Source organism: Homo sapiens, chromosome 4 (genome assembly GCF_000001405.40).
Source record: "Homo sapiens chromosome 4, GRCh38.p14 Primary Assembly".
In the NCBI taxonomy this organism is placed as follows: Eukaryota; Metazoa; Chordata; class Mammalia; order Primates; family Hominidae; genus Homo; species Homo sapiens.
In genome coordinates, this window is record NC_000004.12 from 187,016,952 (window position 1) to 187,036,149 (window position 19,198).

Genomic DNA, 19,198 nt, shown 5'->3' on the forward strand with positions numbered 1-19,198 from the left:
ATTAAAAAATTAGAACAAAACAAAACAAGTACTTATCTTCATGAAGTTCTAATGAGGAGATATCAATGACAAATAAAGAAAAAATATGTAAAATAAATAACAAGTGCTGAAAAAGAAAAACAGAGTACAGGGGCTAGAGTTCTAGAGAGGTTCTATTATAGATGGAGTGATTTGGGTTGACTGGGATTAATCATCCCAGGATTACATTCCAAGTTCAGAGCTGTTTCTCTTATGCTACCATTCATCTCATTTGTAGTTGGGGAATTTAGTCAGATGGACAAATAATTGCATATCTTTTTTTAGGGAGAGCTCAACAATGTGACGCTGTTTATGTTGATGCTGTTGAAATAGTGTGTCAGCAAATCCCTGTCTTTTTCCCTGTTCAGTGTCCTTAACGGGGGAGGGGATGTTGAAACCTGATCCCTTCCAAGAGTCTAAGGTATAGCCATATAAGCCGGAGTCATATGAATTGGTAGTTGAATCTAATGCTTGTAGCAATATTCCTGTCATGAACAGAATACACTAAATTTGTCATTTATAGTTTTAACAATTCTTGAGTTATACTATTATATATGTAATAGGTCCTAGTTTGGTTTTATTTTACTTAAACTTACCTATGTACACACTTTTAAGAAGTAAATAATTCTATAAGGCTTGTTACAAAAAGCATCAGCTCCTGACTGCCCTACCTGCTTTCCTTTTGCTGGGAACAACCCCCTTTTAACTCTTAGCTAATTTTTTTTCTAGTTATTTATTACCATGCCTCTAATTAACAGGTTTATTTTGCTACTTCTTAATTTTTAACAGTTTTTTCAGTACTTCTTGACTTTTTTGGTTTTATGTGTTAACTACTGACTTCCCAAAATGAGAGCTGAGAATTTGACTCTCTTTGTAACCGCTTTCCCCTCCATCCCTCTTAATTCCTCATCCCAACATAAAGTAAGAGTAAGTGATTTTGGTTGGCCCACCCTTGGCCCACCCTGGGTATTTGAATATACTGTATTAGGACGGCGTAAACATTGTTAACACCTGAGCCAGGTCATATGTATGATTTTCTCATCCTTTTCTACACTCTTTAAAAAACCCACTTGAACTAGTAACTGTTTGCTTCTGTTCTTGGTTTAGATTTGTATGTTCTTATCGCTAATCTACTCTCAAATTCTCCTACCGTTCCATTTGATAGCATCTTGCTTTTTTTGCAGGGTGCAATATCTTTCCTGCCCAGGTAAGCAGAGGACTGCAGGATGCTGCGACTAGGTTCCTTCTTTGAAGATCCCCAACTTCATTAGTCTTAGATTTTATTCTCCTTTCTAAGATTCCCCAGAAGACTCTCCTCCAATTCTGGCCTGGAGTATATAAACTGCCCATATCAGATGTGTTATTTTATTTAAAAATAATTTTTGAGTTCTTTTATTATTGCAAAAGTTCTGTTGGTAAAATAAAACTTTAGAAATGCAAAAAAAAGAAAACAGATATACATTTTTAATTCCACTATGAAAACAGAACAACAATTTAATTGCTTAATTTCTTCTGTTTAACAAAGAAAGTTGGAGTTGGCAATACAGTAGGCACTGAACACTTCTGATAAAGCATTAATGCAAAAATCAATGTCACATCAAATACATAAAGTGGTCAATATTTTTGTGTTAAAAGTAAAAAGCACATCTTAAACATTAACTTTGAAATAGATTGATGTGCAAATCTAAATTTGTTTTGCAAAGCCACTGTTTCAATGGAAAGCAATGCGTAGGAAGAGAAATCATGTGACAATGTATTCCACCCTAGTAATATGAAATGGATCAAGGAAGCAGAAGGTATATCTATTTAAGTTTGATTGATGGTTCAAGAGGATTTTGTAAGTGCTATTGTGGATGTAAAAGTTTTTCTAAGAAGTTGGGGAGATTATTTCAGGTAACCCTGACAGTTGTTCCCATCCTTCAAAGTCTAGAGTACTGCAATACCTTGCCGGTAGAGAAGACACTTTGCAGACGGCATTGGAGAAAAACTGTGCCCTTTACTCTCCCAGCGACTGAACAGATCTCAGTATTGCTATTAGAAAGAAATTAGTCATGAGCTATTGGCAAGTAATTGAGTAAGATGTCTGAGTATTTTTTTAAAAGTTTAGGTGGGTTGAAAACTCTCTGCAATAATCTTCCAGAGCACAATGCAGGGAAGGGACTGGCTGATATAAAGCTGCCTGTTATTAAATTATCCTGGGATGGGAAGCAAGCAATTATGGGGTTACCTGGGATGGTAGGGAGCAGAAAAGCAACAAATGCTGAGAAATTAGATGAAACAACAATTTAAAAAAAATGAATCTAAATCCAAGCCAAGTTATCTTGTAGACTGCTACTGACCAAGGATTTAGAAGAGAGCTTTTATTTATTTATTTATTTTTTGGGACAGAATCTTCCTCTGTCACCCAGGCTGAAGTGCAGTGGCACGATCTCGGCTCACTGCAATCTCTGCCTCCCGGGTTCAAGCAATTCTCGTGCCTCACCCTCCCAAGTAGCTAGGACTACAGGCACGTGCCACCACGCCTGGCTAATTTTTGTATTTTCAGTAGAGATGGGGTTTCACCATGTTGGCCAGGCTGGTCTCTAACTCCTGACCTCAGGTGATCCGCCTGCCTTGGCCTCCCAAAGTGCTGGGATTACAGGCGTGAGCCACCACGCCTGGCCTAGAAGAGAGCTTTTTGGAAAAATGCAAATAACAATGCTAATTGTCTCTGATTCTTTTAAATTGTTGGTAGGTGAATGTATCTATGCAAATGTGCATCGTATATAACTTTCAGTAAGCTGTTCATTGGATAACGGTGATTCAGCCTGAGTTATCTCAATTTGTTTTCTCTAATGTTACAACATTTCAGGTGGTACGGTTCATCTGGACCAGCCTCTGATGTGGGGAAGACCAAGCGAGAGCACACTGCGGAGAGTGAGTCCTGGTCGGTTTGGGTATGGCTCTCAGCAGACTGACCCACGAGGGCCAGCAGCTGCTGGATTTAATTCGCTGATTTTGTATGAACTGTAGATTTCCCTGGGAAATCTGCTATGCACACACAAGTGAGAAGGCAACCATGAGAAGGAGGCCAGGGCTGAGGCTCTGCAAGTGCACACGGCTCGTTGCAGAAAAGCACGCGCCTCCCAGCAGGACTGTTAGCCCAGAGAGGAAGCCTGCTGGGGTTTGAGCTCATTTGTGTTGTCAGTATCTCTTATCACAGCATCAGATTCAGTGTTTTCTTAAGGAACAAAACACAGGAAACGGCTTGCTGTCATTTTCTATTTCTCTAGTGAATCTCCTGTAACTGAAAGTCACAAACTTCTTTCTTTAAGACCTATGGCTTACCTTTCCAATAAGAAGTGAAAGGTCTAGGCTGTCAATATTTGAAATTGAGGGGCAAAAGGCAGCCTCTTTTCTATCATGAAGGAAAACATACAATGTGGAAAAGAGTTCGCTTTGGAGTGGATTTATCGTCATCTAAATTGAATGCATTGGTGAAGATTACGGAATTGATGTTTCCAAAATTCGTTGACATGTGCAGATGAAAATACAAAGGATTATTTTTAATATTATTATGTTATATTAAATAAACTTGCTGAGATTTTTTAAGTTTCAATGCCTTCGGCCTCCAGTAGAACAGTTGTGATTAAAACAACACATATGCTTCCCATTTGGCTGGTTATGGGAATATTTTGAAACAAGGAATATTTTAAAGTTAATTATACATGCATTTAATGCCCAGTTAAATTTTGAAAGTATTTAACAATTTGCAGTGGGAGGTAAAGTAAATGTCTAATTCTGCCGCTTTCTCTGTGGTTCAGTGAAGCATCTTCTTGGTCATTGCCCTAACTGAATCTGAGCTAGGATGTTCCATCACATTGACCTTGTTATAATTTTGAAACAGGAATTCCAGTAGGATAGAATTGTTCCATTCTGTTGCCCCTCTAACCACTCCAAGGTTTCTTGATGTATCTAGCTCATGACAGAAAAGACAAAAAAACAAAAATTACTCTGAAGACGAAAAGTCAGCTTGGGAAAGTTATGTATGTTTCCTTTTTAAAAGCCTTTTAACCTTTGGACTTGAGAAATGCTTTTTCTTGTCTTTTAAAATGTGTTAAGTAGTCACATCTTGAAAAGGACCAGATAAAATCATGTTTTTCAGGCCAGACATGGTAGCTCATCCCAGCAGTTTGAGAGGCCGAGGTGGGTGGATCACTTGAGGTCAGGAGTTCTAGACCAGCCTGGCCAACATGGTGAAACCCCATCTCTACTAAAAATACAAAAATTAGCCGGGCATGGTGGCAGGCACCTGTAATCCCAGCTACTTGGAAGGCTGAGACAGGAGAATTGCTTGAACCAGGGAGGCGGAGGTTGCAGTGAGCCTAGATCGTGCCACTGCACTCTAGCCTGGTCAATAGAGTGAGACTCTGTCTCAAAAAAAAAAAAATTGATTTTTCATGTGCCTAAGATTAAATTTAGGGCTCATCTAAACCCCAAGGGACTTTTTATGTATTTCACTTGGATTTTGGACAATAGAAATGAATAAGTTGGAATAGATCGGATGTTACATGGTGGACTCTACCTATAGAATGCCACCAACCATCTCCTTTATGTGTTGTGAATGACCCAAGCCAGATCATGCAAGTCTCCATAGGCATGCCTCTTCTTGTCAGATACTTCTAATTGAGTGTGATGATTTTCCTGCTGAGCCTTGGTGTAGCTTTACAACCCTACTCAACACAGCTCTGTGGGCAGCAAAGCCAGTGGGCAGGAATTATTAAGTGAGCTGAAACTGCTTCTCTAACCTAGGCTAGACCAAACAATAGGAAGTCAAGGTGATATCTAGGAGTTGTACATATTTTCAAATATAAAAATATTTCATTCATTTGGAGGAAGGTAGGATGAACAAGGTAGACAGTACTAATATGTCAGCTGGTAAGTAATTATTCAGTGCCATTTTTGCTGGGAATTTACCTGGATACAGATGGGCCTCCTGGAAGAATGTGGCATTTCACCTCCTCTGTACAGGGACTTATGACTTCACTGCAAGAAAATAGTTAATATATAACATAATCAGTAAGCGTTAAAACACTCCATAATATGACAAACTTTATAAATATTATTCCAACCCTCTCACTCGAAATGAAAGAAGATTTCATAGACAAGAAAGGCTTCTTAGAGACGATAGTATGGTTCATGTCACAAATGTTAAATGGATGCAGAAGCATTTGGAATGTAGCGTGCGGGATGCTATGAGTTGGTGTGTCTAAAAATGTTCAACAAAATCAATTGTAGACTTTACCTCACAAGAAAGTCTTGACTTTTGCAATGGAGAAAAGTGGTGTTTTATAGAAATACTTTAAAAACAATTTTTTTAAAAATTACAGGTATTTCAGAAAATGAGAGATAACTACAGCCAAATAATTCACATTAAATTGTTGATTGAATTGACAAAGTAATTTAATGTGTTTCTATTAGATGCAAGGCAGTGTGCTGGATCATTGAAGTATATAAAAATGTATCTGCTTGTAAAAGCAGATAATCTAGAGATGAATGTGGTAGCTAATGAAATTACAAATTAGTTTATGATATGTGCAAATGTGGGAAATAAAATCACAAAAACAATAAGTAATTCTAATCAAGATACCTGTCAAGTTCAAAAAAGCTTCTAAGAACTATGGTACCTTGGAATCTGATTTAATTCTGAAAATCCACCACATTAATTATGTCTTTCAAATTTAAAAACTAAGTTTCTAAATGCATCAATGGCCCTTAGAATAAAAACTCAGAACATTTAGAAACCCCTGGTAATGACAGGATCATGTCTAAGTTTAAAATAATACGGTTTATTCTCACTAGCCTGCAGAATTGTTTATAATCTCAAGTCGTACTTCAGAACATAGACAAAAGGCCATCCCTTTTTGGGGTTTAGATAGAAATAGCTGATTTCACCTGAACTCAGCAACCTTGTAAATAGCCGTTTCTATGAAATATATCTGCTCACTTGGATAAGAGCCAAGTTTCACAAATTACTAATGCTGGATCTAAGTTGACTAGTGAAACTTATTCCCAAAACAGGCAATGTGATAATTCAATATTTTGCTGTTGATGTGTTTCGAGAGCCAGCACACAGTGTGCATTTCCCGGTTGCTCCCAGCTTATTTTGCCACAGACCTACAGAGACCAGACTTCAAGATGTTCCTGTGGACAGGAATTTACACAAAAAACCAGGTGAAATTTACTTTTTTGGTGGAAAAATATATATGTATGACTGGCTTAAAGTCGTTAAGTGAGGTGATCTTAATGATAGGACCAAATCCATTAGAAAACTACTTTGCAAATGAAGTTTAAAAAATTTTATTTTCAACTAGTTTTTAAAAGACTTCAATTCAGTAAGGAGCACATTAGAAAGATCTCAGTTTATCTCAAGTATAGGCTATATCTAAAGAAACTTGATTATTTATTAAGTTTTCTTTCTTATTAAGATGTCTTGGCTATACAGCAAGAAGCATAAGTAACTCTCCATTGCATATTGGATCCCACGTTTTGTGGATATGAAAGAGTTAGTTTTAGAAGAAATGTCATAACCAAAAATAGAACCAAATACATAGCTATGACTGAAGTAAAGTTCTTGCTGTATGGTAATGCTTCTTGCATTTGGTCAATCTGAAGATGCGTGACATCAAGCCTGACACAGTCAGTTTAGCATAGTCTCCTTAAGGTTTGACTATGGAATGTATGAATTCGTAAATCTGCTTTCTCTTTATTGAATATATTCAAACGTATCACAGCTATTGATGGATTCCATGCTTTGTTTACAAGAGGAGCACATGGAAGTACACAACCCAGGAGCCATATTTTCCTCTTACTGCCAAAATCACTCTTCAGATATGATTTAGGTGCTTGGATATTTGCATCTAGTTCACTTTACTTACTTTTTACTGCTTTGCTGGGGCAATGCTTTCCAACAATAAGAAAGAATGAATGAATTCTAGAAAAGGATGAGCACATGACCAGATCCAAGCTTGGAAAATTTGAGTTCATGATCCATTCATTGTTGGAATGTTCAGGGTCAGGAGGTGAAACTTCAAGTCCTAAATTCTAGGTCTATGGCTAGGCAGGACATCTTCCTTTTGCCTTCCAGATACCCACTCCACCCTTCTCCACTCTGCTGTGTGCTCTGGAGGTTGACCTATAGGCTCCACATCAATGCACCTCCCTTGCTTTCAGACTTTGAGTTAGGTCCAACCAACAGGGAGCACCACCTGGAGACTGAAGGAGGCAGTAAGCAGGCGGTACCTGCCTGCATCTCTCTCCCTTTCCCTGATGTTCTGGCAACTGCTTCCTCCTGTTACTCCCACAGGCCGAGGAGTACTAATTGCACCTCACTGTCCCCATCTCCAAAATGCTGCTCTGACCCCTCCGCACTTTCCTATAATCCCTCACCTTATAAACAGTCCCTGTATCACGCTTTTGGCAAATTTATCGGCTGCCCACTGACTATCTGATGCAATCTGCAATCACGGAACTCATACTATTTGGCTAAAGAGTTGATGACATTTGTTGTGTTGTCATGGAGTTTGAGGTGCTGGTGCACTACTTTGCCAGATAATCAGACAACGTATCCCCATTGTGGGATAGGGGAAGCAAAACAAATGTTTAACTGTTCAAGGGTATTAATTCAGTCATGGTTTTAAAGACAGAATTAAAAATTTCAATAAAAAACATAGTCATGGCTGGGTGTGGTGGCTTATGCCTGTAATCCCAGCACTTTGGGAGGCTGAGGTGGGTGGATCGCGAGGTGAGGAGATCGAGACCATCCTGGTCAACATGGTGAAACCCCATCTCTACTAAAAATACAAAAAAAAAAAAAATTAGCTGGGTATGGCGGCTTATGCCTGTAATCCCAGCACTTTGGGAGGCTCAGGTGGGTGGATCACGAGGTCAGGAGATCGAGACCATCCTGGTCAACATGGTGAAACCCTATCTCTACTAAAAATACAAAAAAAAAAAAAAATTACCTGGGTGTGGTGGCTTACGCCTGTAATCCCAGCTACTCTGGAGGCTGAGGCAGGACAATTGCTTGAACCTGGGAGGCAGAGGTTGCAGTGAGCAGAGATTGCACCACTGCACTCCAGCCTGGTGACAGAGCTAGACTATGTCTCAAAACAACAACAACAACAAACATGATCATATGGTTTCACATACTATTTATTTACAATTCCAAAACATCATAAATACATCCTATATTTCATGGTTCAGTGGAGTTCAGGAAAAGCAAGTATTTGAGAAAGCAACTTGAATCAAAGAAGCTGGGATAGTTCTGAAGAAAGGGAAATTAACATCTCCCCCAAATGCAGATGCTTTCCATGCACCTGTACTATAGAATTGTGGTATGGAGATATGGAACACGCAAAGTCATTCTACACAACATGATGATGGAGCCATTCTTCATTTTTTCACTGGTCTGGAAAAGACTTTGAGAAATAGGGCTACACTTAAGCATCTTAGACATATTTCTAGAATTTTGGAGTTTGCTGAGAACCTTGAAAATATTAGGCACTGGACTGGTTTGACCTGCCGTGACGTACAAGGCACTTAGGTTTGTTATGTTTGATACAAGAAAGCCTTTATGAGACTGTTCAACAGAAAATCTTGAATTTTTTACTGATACCCATTAAATTGCATAAGACAAATACAGACTGACAAACACATAGCACATATATGATATTTCTTTTTTTGAATATAATGGAGGAAAACACTGTTTTTAGTCTAGTTATCATTAGACTTTTGTTACAGAAAATAAACAAATTCACCCAGCTCTTTGTGCATTTATGGCACTGTTGCTTCTCAGACACCAAATGAAAATTTAACATCCTGTGCCCTCCTTTTTAGATTAAATTCTCCTGTGTTTTCTTTTGGAAATGGGATGGAAGTGAAAACAAAATGTTGTTCTACCATATATCAAGATGAGGGCTGATATTCTGTCCAGAGCTTAAGTAAGTAGAATTGATTTGCTGAAATGCTGAAATGCTTGCAACTTTACACATTTTTGAAATTTTCTTTCTGTGGGATGGAGGCAGAGATCTTGACGATGCTCGCTCTCTGGGGCTTCTGTGTATCACCGGGTGAAAATGGTCTTTCCTTATCTGGAATTCCCCTTCCCTTCCCACCATTATGTAACCAGCTCCAGCATCTCCACATGGCAAACCCTTCTCAATGCCCCTGCACACAGAATTTGTCCTTTACTCCTTGGTCTCTGCATGTGCCCCGTGCTTCTGCTGTGGCATGTGCCACACTGTGCTTTTTAACATGTCCGTCTTGATGATATGCTCTAGATTCATCTGTGGGACTGAACCTTGTCTTTGATCACTAGCGCACCTTGTGGAAACTAATTTGCAGGCAACAGTGTTGAACTATTCATCTCTATTCTAATTCTCATTTATTTGTGGAGAGAATAGAACGGGATAACTTATTCTGTGGTTGTGAAAACCTGAGAATTCAACTGGAATCGAGTTCTCTTGTAAAATGTGAGTTTGAGGGAAGAAACGGTGTGCAACTTGTATGTGATGATATCCCCAGACAACGGTGCATCCATTATGTATCAGGTGCTAGTCTGTTTTGCATTGCTGTAAAGGAGTACCTGAGCCTGGGCAATTTACAAAGGAAAGAGGTTTATTTGGCTCAAGGTCTTGCAGGTTATACAGGAAGCATGGTGCCAGCATCTGCTCAGCTTCTGGTGAGGCCTCAGGAAGCTTTAACTCATGGTGGAAGGTGAAGGGGAGCAAGAGAGAGAACCAGAGAGATGAGGAGGTGCCAGACTCTTTTAAACAACCAGATCTTGTCAGAACTGATGGAGGGAGAATTCACTCATTACCGTGGGGAGGGCACCATGCCTTTCATAGGGGATCTGCCCCCGTGACCCAAACACCTCCCACCAGGCCCCACCTCCAACACGGGGGATCACAGTTCAACCTGAGATTTGGAGGGGACAAACATCCAAACTATATCACATCAGTAAATATTTATTAACTAATTTAAGAAAAAAAACAAAAAATTGATGTCTTTATCATATATCTTGCTTCTTCCTGTAAAAGCCATCAAACTTTCCATTTAAAAAACCCACAATTTTTAGCCATTTTCTGATCTGTACTTTCTTTTAAGCTTGTGAACATGTCCCCAAGAATGAGTTCACCTTTCTTTCAATGTCTTTCCCTTTTTATATTGGAAAGAAAAGGAAAGCAAAATGTATGCATGTGCATGTATATGTGTGTGTGTGTGTGTGTGTGTGTGTGTGTGTAGTTTATCAGAAAGGAAAAGCTCACCTTCCTTGATCACCCTGAGTTTGCTGCAAGCTGCTGACGGCAGCTAATCTGACATTTGTCTCATTGAAGTGGAAGAGCAGATGTGTTGCACTGGAGTCCTCTTGCAGGTCTTCCGTTCTGAAGGCTGCACTCTGCGTCACAGTGTCCTAGACTTGCTGCAGCCCTTCCAGCTGGTGAGCTGCTTTTTTTCTTCCAGTTTAAATACTTCCTTGGTGCAGCCTGAGGGTTGGAAGGCTGGGAGTGGGAGAGAGTTTGTTCTCAAATTTATGAGCTGTGAGTGCAGGGAACTTAAGTGCGGCAGCTCTCCAGTCGACATTACAGATATGGGTAAAATAGTAATCTTTCCTATCAACCCACAGCCCATAAAACGAATACCTTTTAATGGTGTGGGCATAATTATCAGATGTATTAAGTTAATTGGACAGACACTGATGCAAGGTCTTAGTAGTAGCCGACTGTGGCTCGGTGCATTTCCTTAACATTCATAGATCATATTTCAAATGACTGTTGCTGAGAGAACTCCCAAATATATTCTTGGTCAATGTGATTTCTTTCTTTCTTTCTTTTTTAAAAGCTCATCATCTCCACTGAGCCTTAACAATTTACATTAAAAATGCCATTTGGAGCCTCCCCGTCATTTTCCCTTTAGCCTTACTGAAAAATGCTTGCTTTTTCACAAGGTTGCGACACTTAGAATCAGGACCAAGGGTTATGGCTACTAAATTCCAAGTTGTCTTTTATGTACTTGCTTCAAAGCAGGCTTATATTTTCTTAGTATCTTTTCCTAGCATATCGGCCACCAATAAAATGAAAGAGAATAATCCTGACTAAATTCATAGCCATTTTTACAGCATATCTGATCATGCCTTTTATTGACAGAGAGTAATATGCATTAAAGTAATCTCTTGAAAGCCTTTTTTCAAAAAAAATTTGTTTTGGTCTTTATCTTTCCTTTCTAAGTGTCTGGACCGTGTATAATAGGAAGCATAAATTCCCTTTCCAGTGACTGCTATGTTCATGCTTCTCATTTTATTTTATTCATTCTGTTTTATGGACTTTGCAAAGCTGACTTTTGGTTAACCTTATGCCCTCTGAGGCTAAACTTTTGATTTAAAATTATTTGAAGCTCTCGGCTCCCTGGGTTGTGGAGTGCATATAGATCCATCTATGGCGTTAGGTGACTCAGAGCTAGGAAGAACGGTTACAGAGTCCATGCCAGCAACCAGCTGTTGGCCTCACAGGTGCAAAGGAGGCAGCACTAGGTGACTGGGGGTTACAGTCGCCCCTGGAGCTCAGCGATGGTGCCAGAGGATTCCTCCTCCAAGGTCAACGATGATACAGATGTGGATGCAATAGCATGGAGCCCATTTCAACCACCTTAGCATTTGGCTAAGCCATTCATCAAAGGCCTCACATCAAGCCAAGCCTTTCTCTGTCCTCCCCACACTGGTCTGGGCAGCAGCTTCATGCACTAGGGCAGTACACCCCTGTAAGCTCTTCATTCTCTCACCTTTCTAGGTGCTTGTTCCTTTCATTTCCCTCTATCCATGGGGCTTCTTTGTGCTTCCCTTCCAGACTTTGCAACCTTAGTTTGACATTTATTGCAACTGTCACCAACATTGTAGACTTCCTTATCTCAACCTTTGACTGTGATTGTCATGCCACTTTAGGAAAAATACCCCACTTCACTTCCCCATCCATATTCTCTGCTATTGCACCAAGCTTAAGAGACTTGAAAAAGTTCTAGACCTAGGATGCCTTGGACCTGTCTCTTCTCTCTACCTCAGTAATACACAATCCTGCTTCATTGCAAAGACTGACATTAGCTCTGAAAACTCAGTTCTCCCAACTTGCCCTGAAATGTGTATCTCTAGGCCTTAGCTTTGCTCTGATCGCTATCCCCTTTACTAAATAAATTGATGCTCTTTTTATCAATGTGTACCTTCATGTCCACCCTCCCTTTTAATACAGTCTGTATAGGTAGGAGGAGCCCACTGTTTGATGTCAGAACGTTTGAGTTTGGGACCTGGCTCAATTTCCTGCCAATTGTGTGACATAAATTGTTGAAAGGCAAATAAGAGTATCAGTATTACATGTGTTCTCGTAATATTTTTGTAAGTTTTTTTCTACCTTTTTATTCTCCCTACCAGTGCTCTAGGTCAAGTTTATTCATGGAAATACCAGCCATGTCTTCTTAAAATCCTGCTTTGATAAACCGCTCTCCCCAAATTAAACTCCTAAGTGTAATGTTTCAAGTAATAACAAACTACTTAGGGAATTTATACTTCCTATTATACACGATCCAGACACTTAGAAAGGAAAGATACGAACAGCTTAAAGGAAAGATACAGTTTAACTACAAACAGCTTACTGTTACTTATTCAAATATGTATTTTCAGATCTTCACTTTTCCTCTAAATTCTCTGCTCTCTTCAGATCAAATATCTTCTGAAGCCACCAAAAAACTGTCATAACTTCCCACTCCCACCACCAACCACCTTCTCCTTGCCTCTTTTATTCCAATATATTATTCACAGCCCATGATTACTAACTAACTAGGTAATATTGACCACCAATTTCATTTAACATCTACTTGACACAATCATACTATCTAGTGTATTGCCTCATTCATGGTCTAGAAGTCTGAGTTGTCTTATTATTATGTTGATGACTTTGTAACCCCCTGGTTACTGCTTAAAAATGCATGCCTAAGGAAGCCTTCATTCTCTTTGCCTTGGTTTGCTAACACATAAAATGAAGAACGGTGTATTTTTCTACTCATAGGTCTTCATGGGATTTTACAAGTTAATTGAAGCATTCTGAAAGCTTCTTGAATAAAGATTAATAAAGACACATATTTAAATATTTGATGGCCAGTTTCATTTTTCTCATTGTTACTCTTATTCATATTAAGCTATTATTATCTTTTTCTCAGCTTTGTAAAACAATTCTGGCCAGGCGCGGTGGCTCACGCCTGTAATCCAAGCTCTTTGGGAAGCCGAGGTGGGCGGATCACGAGTTCAGGAGATCGAGACCATCCTGGCTAACACGGTGAAACGCCATCTCTACTAAAAATACAAAAAATTAGCCGGGCGCGGTGGCGGGCGCCTGTAGTCCCAGCTACTCGGGAGGTTGAGGCAGGAGAATGGCGTGAACCCGGGAGGCGGAGCTTGCAGTGAGCCGAGATCGCGCCACTGCACTCCAGCCTGGGCGACAGAGCGAGACTCCGTCTCAAAAAAAAAATTAAAAAAAAAACCAATTCTTAAATGAAAGGTCGAATTGTGACAAGTGGTCATTGTAGTACAGATGGAGCAAAAGAAACCCATGCATGATACGTGATTCTTTCCTCCACGAGTGTTTATGTGCGTTTCTTCAATATAGGACGGAAGCAAGGAAAAAGAAAAGGAGAAAAGGAAGCAAAGGAAAGAAATTCTACAAAGCAAATGTTTAAGAATCTGCTAACACATTTTAATGAAGCTCATTAACTCAAACGTTGACTCAACGTAGACTATTTCACAATAGAACCATATATGCCCCCAGAAATAATTTTTTTTTAATTTAGAGATCTAATTGTACCTTTAATACTGGAAGTGAGTGGAAATAGTGTTGCTGTCGTTTCTAAGTGGCCCCGAGAGGAGAAGTAACTTGCAGGCAAGTTACAACATCCAGTTTTTAAAATTTATTTTAAATTTTTTTCATATAAGGTGAAGATCTTTTTTTTATTATTATACTTTAAGTTCTAGGGTACATGTGCACAACGTGCAGGTTTGTTACATATGTATACACGTGCCATGTTGGTGTGCTGCACCCATTAACTCGTCATTTACATTAGGTATATCTCCTAATGCTATCCCTCCCCCCTCCCTCCCATCCCACAACAGGCCCCGGTGTGTGATGTTCCCCACCCTGTGTCCAAGTGTTCTCATTGTTCAATTCCCACCTATGAGTGAGAACATGCGGTGTTTGGTTTTTTGTCCTTGCAATACTTTGCTGAGAATGATGGTTTCCAGTTTCATCCATGTCCCTACAAAGGACATGAACTCGTCATTTTTTATGGCTGCATAGTATTCCATGGTGTATATGTGCCACATTTTCTTAATCCAGTCTATCATTGCTGGACATTTGGGTTGGTTTCAAGTCTTTGCTATTGTGAATAGTGCCACAATAAACATATGTGTGCATGTGTCTTTATAGCAGCATGATTTATAATCCTTTGGGTATATACCCAGTAATGGGATGGCTGGGTCAAATGGTATTTTTAGTTCTAGATCCTTGAGGAATCACCACACTGTCTTCCACAATGGTTGAACTAGTTTACAGTCCCACCAACAGTGTAAAAGTGTTCCCATTTCTCCACATCCTCTCCAGCACCTGTTGTTTCCTGACTTTTTAATGATCACCATTCTAACTGATGTGAGATGGTATCTCATTGTGGTTTTGATTTGCATTTCTCTGATGGCCAGTGATGATGAACATTTTTTCATGTGTCTGTTGGCTGCATAAATGTCTTCTTTTGAGAAGTGTCTGTTCATATCCTTGGGCCACTTGTTGATGGGGTTGTTTCATTTCTTCTTGTAAATTAGTTTAAGTTCTTTATAGATTCTGGATATTAGCCCTTTGTCAGATGGGTAGATTGCAAAAATTTTCTCCCATTCTGTAGGTTGTCTGTTCACTCTGATGATAGTTGCAGAAGCTCTTTAATTTAATTAGATCCTATTTGTCTATTTTGGCTTTTGTTGCCATTGCTTTTGGTGTTTTAGTCATGGAGTCCTGAATGGTAAAGCCTAGGTCTTGAATGGTATTGCCTAGTTTTCTTCTGGGGCTTTTATGGTTTTAGGTCTAACATTTAAGTCTTTAATCCATCTTGAATTAATTTTTGTATAAGATGTAAGGAAGTGATCCAGTTTCAGCTTTGTACATATGGCTAGCCAGTTTTCCCAGCACCATTTATTAAATAGGGAATCCTTTCCCCATTTCTGTTTTTGTCAGGTTTGTCAGAGATCAGATGGTTGTAGATGTGTGGTATTATTTCTGAGGGCTCTGTTCTGTTCCATTGGTCTATATCTCTGTTTTGGTACCAGTACCATGGTGTTTTGGTTACTGTAGTCTTGTAGTCTAGTTTGAAGTGAGGTAGCATAATGCCTCCAGCTTTGTTCTTTTGGCTTAGGATTGATTTGGCAATGCGGGCTCTTTTTTGGTTCCATATGAACTTTAAAGTAGTTTTTTCCAATTCTGTGAAGACAGTCATTGGTAGCTTGATGGGGATGGCATTGAATCTATCAGTTAACAAGGTGAAGATCTTTTCTGTGTCTGCCAATAAGTTTTCTTCATCTAGTGACTGTAAAGGAGTTTGACAATTCTCATAAATTGAAAAGTTATTGGGAGATACAAAGTTACATATAAATTTCAAATTGAAGGCCCATCAATAGGATTATGTTTGTTTAAATACAAACAGCTTCAGCTTTCCAAGACTTTCTACTCTGGCTCTTGTGTTAATTGTACTAATGGCTGGTACTGTGTGACTTCTTCATCTCTTTGGTTCTCTGGTTCCTTCTGGAGGTAAAGTTCTATGATTCTATTCATAGCAGTTCCTAGTCTGATTAGGTTACCAACATGGATAAGAATCTGATAAAAGTTATAAACTGTATTTTCAGTGAAAAGCACAATTTCCTAAAACATATGTGTGTGTGTGATATGGTTTGGCTGTGTCCCCACCCAAATCTCCTCTTGAATTGCAACTCCCACAATTTCTATGTGTCCCTGGGAGGAATCTGGTAGGAAGTAATAGAATCATGGGGGTGGATCTTTTCTTGGCTGTTCTTGTGATAGTGAATAAATCTCATGAGATCTGATGGTTTTAAAAATGAGAGTTTGCCTGCACAAGCTCTCTCTTTGCCTGCCACCATTCACGTAAGATGTGACTTGGTCCTCCTTGCTTTCCACCATGATTGTGAGGCATCCCCAGCCATGTGGAACTGTTAAGTCCAATAAACCTCTTTCATTTGTAAATTTCCCAGTCTTGGCTATGTCTTTATTAGCAGTGTGAAAACAGACTAATATAGTAAATTGGTACCAGTAGAGTGGGTGCTGCTGAAAAGATACCTGAAAATGTGGAGGCAACTTTGGAATTGGGTAACAGGCAGAGGCTGAAACAGTTTGGAGGGCTCAGAAGAAGACAGGAAAATGTGGAAGAGTTTGGAACTCCCTAGAGACTTGTTGAATGGCTTTGAACATGATGCTGATAATAATATGGACAATGAAATCTAGGCTGAGGTGGTCTCAGATGGAGATGAGGAACTTTTTGGGAACTGGAGCAAAGGTGACACTTGTTATATTTTAGCAAAGAGACTGGCAGCATTTTGCCCTTGCCCTAGAGATTTGTAGAACTTTGAACTTGAGAGTATCTGGCAGAAGGAATTTCTAAGCAGCAAAGCATGTAAGAGATGACTTGGGTGCTGTTGAAAGCATTCAGTTTTATAAGGGAAGCAGAGCATAAAAGTTTGGAAATTTTGCAGCTTGACAATGCAATAGAAAAGAAAATCCCATTTTCTGAGGAGAAATTCAAGCCATCTGCAGAAATTTGGGTAAGTAACCAGGAGCCAAATGTTAATCACCAAGACAATGGGGAAAATGTCTCCAGGGTATGTCAGAGGTCTTCATGGCAGCCCCTTCCATCACACCCTTGAAGACCTAGGAGGAAAAAGTGGTTTCCTGGGCCAGGCCCAGGGTCTCCATGCTGTGTGCAGCCTAGGGACTTGGTGCCCTGCATCCCAGGCACTCCAGCCATGGCTGAGAGGGGCCAACGTAGAGCTTGTGCTGTGACTTCAGAGGGTGGGAGCCCCAAGCCTTGGCAGTTTCCACATGGTGTTGAGCCTGCAAGTGCACGGAAATTAAGAATTGGGGTTTGGAAACCTCCATCTAGATTTCAGAAGATGTATGGAAATGCCTGGATGTCCAGGCAGAAGTTTGCTGCAGGGGCAGGGCCCTCATGGAGAACCTCTGCTAGGACAATGCAGAAGGGAAATGTGGGGTTGGAGCCCCACACAGAGTCCCTACTGGGGCACCACCTAGTGGAGCTGTGAGAAGAGGGCCATCATCCTCTGGACCCCAGAATGGTAGATCCACTGACAGCTTGCACTGTGCATCTGGAAAAGCTGCAGACTTCCAATGCCAGCCCATGAAAGCAGCCAGGAGGTAGGCTATGCCCTGCAAAGCCACAGGGGTGGAGCTTCCCAAGACTAGGTGAACCCACCTTTTGCCTCAGCATGACCTGGGTGTGAGACATGGAGTCAAAGGGGGTCATTTTGGAGCTTTCTGATTTCACATCCCTGCTGGATTTCAGACTTGCGTGGGGCCAATGGCTCCTTTGTTTTGGCCAATTTCTCCCATTTGGAATGGCTGTTATTTACCCAATGACTGTACCCCCATTGTATCTAGGAAGTAACTAACTTGCTTTTGATTTTACAGGCTCACAGGTGAAAGGGACTTGCCTTCTCTCAGATGAGACTTTGGACTGTGGACTTTTGAGTTAATGCTGAAATGAGTTAAGACTTTGGGGGACTGTTGGGAAGGCATGATGGGTTTTGAAATGTGAGGACATGAGATTTGGGAGGGGTCGGGGCCTAATGATATGATTTGTCTGTGTCCCCACCCAAATCTCATCTTGAATTGTAACTCCCACAATTCACATGTGTCATTGGAGGAACCTGGTGGGAGGTAATTGAATCATGGGGGCTGGTCTTTCCTGTGCTGTTCTCATGATAGTGAATAAGTCTCACGAGATCTGATGACTTTAAAAATGGGAGTTTGACTGCACAAGCTCTCTCTTTGCCTGCCACCATCCATGTATGATGTGGTTTGCCTTCTGCCATGATTGTGAGGCATCCCCAGCCATGTGGAACTGTGAGTCCAATAAACCTCTCTTGTTTGTAAATTACCCAGTTGTGGGTATTCTTTATCAGCAGCATGAAAACAGACTAATACAACTAATAATATATAATATATTATATATAATTATATTTACATTATTACATTAATTATATAAAATTATATTTTCCATAATTTTATTACATTATATACATTACATATATATTTACATTGTATATCTATTTTCTTTTAAGCTGCTCAGTGTCAAACTCATTGCATGAGTTTTAGGGACAATCAATCCTCAGCACCAGCATGGAACCCAGAATCGGCAGAGGCCAATTTGCAGTCTGTGACCTGCACAGATAGAATGCTGGCACGTGGCTTCATCCTGCTTAGTCCCAGGTCTTGAAACCAGAGTTAGTGTTGCAAAGAAGTCGGCACAGCTTAGCATTTATTCTCCAGGCATGAGCTGGAGCAGCATTCAAGGTTCTAGGCCAGCAACAGCTGTTTCCAGTGGTGAAATGCCGTGTCCGATAGCAGAGGAGTCTTAACCAGTCTTGCCTGTGGTATCGTTTTCATTATTGTTTTGAATCGCTGGCCTCCCTTGGTTTTATAACTGATTTCTGGGATACGTAATATATTTCCAGTAAATTCAGTGAACTATCCAATGTATTGTTAAATTCCTTTCTCACATGAATTCACCAGAATTAGTTTTTGCTGTTTGCAAAGAAGAACTCTAACACACATAAAGGTAAGGAAAACATTCCGCCTATAGCTTCAGTGTTTCAGTGTTTTGATGAGCCCCTTCAGCCCATCACAGATTCTGCTTGCCTCTCTCAAGCTGATGGGGTTGGTGGTTTTCTGGGCTGTGAGGGTGAGAGAGTATCTGCAAGGCCTGTGTAAGGACACCTGCTCTAAAAAGGCGTGAACTGGTTGGGCGCGGTGGCTCACACCTGTAATCCCAGCAATTTGGGAGGCCAAGGCGGGCAGATCACTTGAGGTCAGGA

At 40.2% G+C, this 19,198-nt stretch overlaps 1 long non-coding RNA gene across 7 annotated transcripts in view; it reads left to right on the plus strand.

Moving 5' to 3' along the window:
• The window catches only part of LOC102723906 (uncharacterized), a 220,555-nt gene that overhangs the window by 176,290 nt on the left and 25,067 nt on the right, over positions 1-19,198 (plus strand). For 6 of the 7 annotated variants that reach the window (XR_007058501.1, XR_007058502.1, XR_002959826.2 and 3 more), the window contains exon 2: positions 2,870-2,934. This is a non-coding gene — a long non-coding RNA (uncharacterized LOC102723906). Of the gene's footprint in view, positions 1-2,869; positions 2,935-10,298; positions 10,499-19,198 lie in introns of those variants that run through there. The other variant, XR_007058504.1, reaches the window with a different exon arrangement.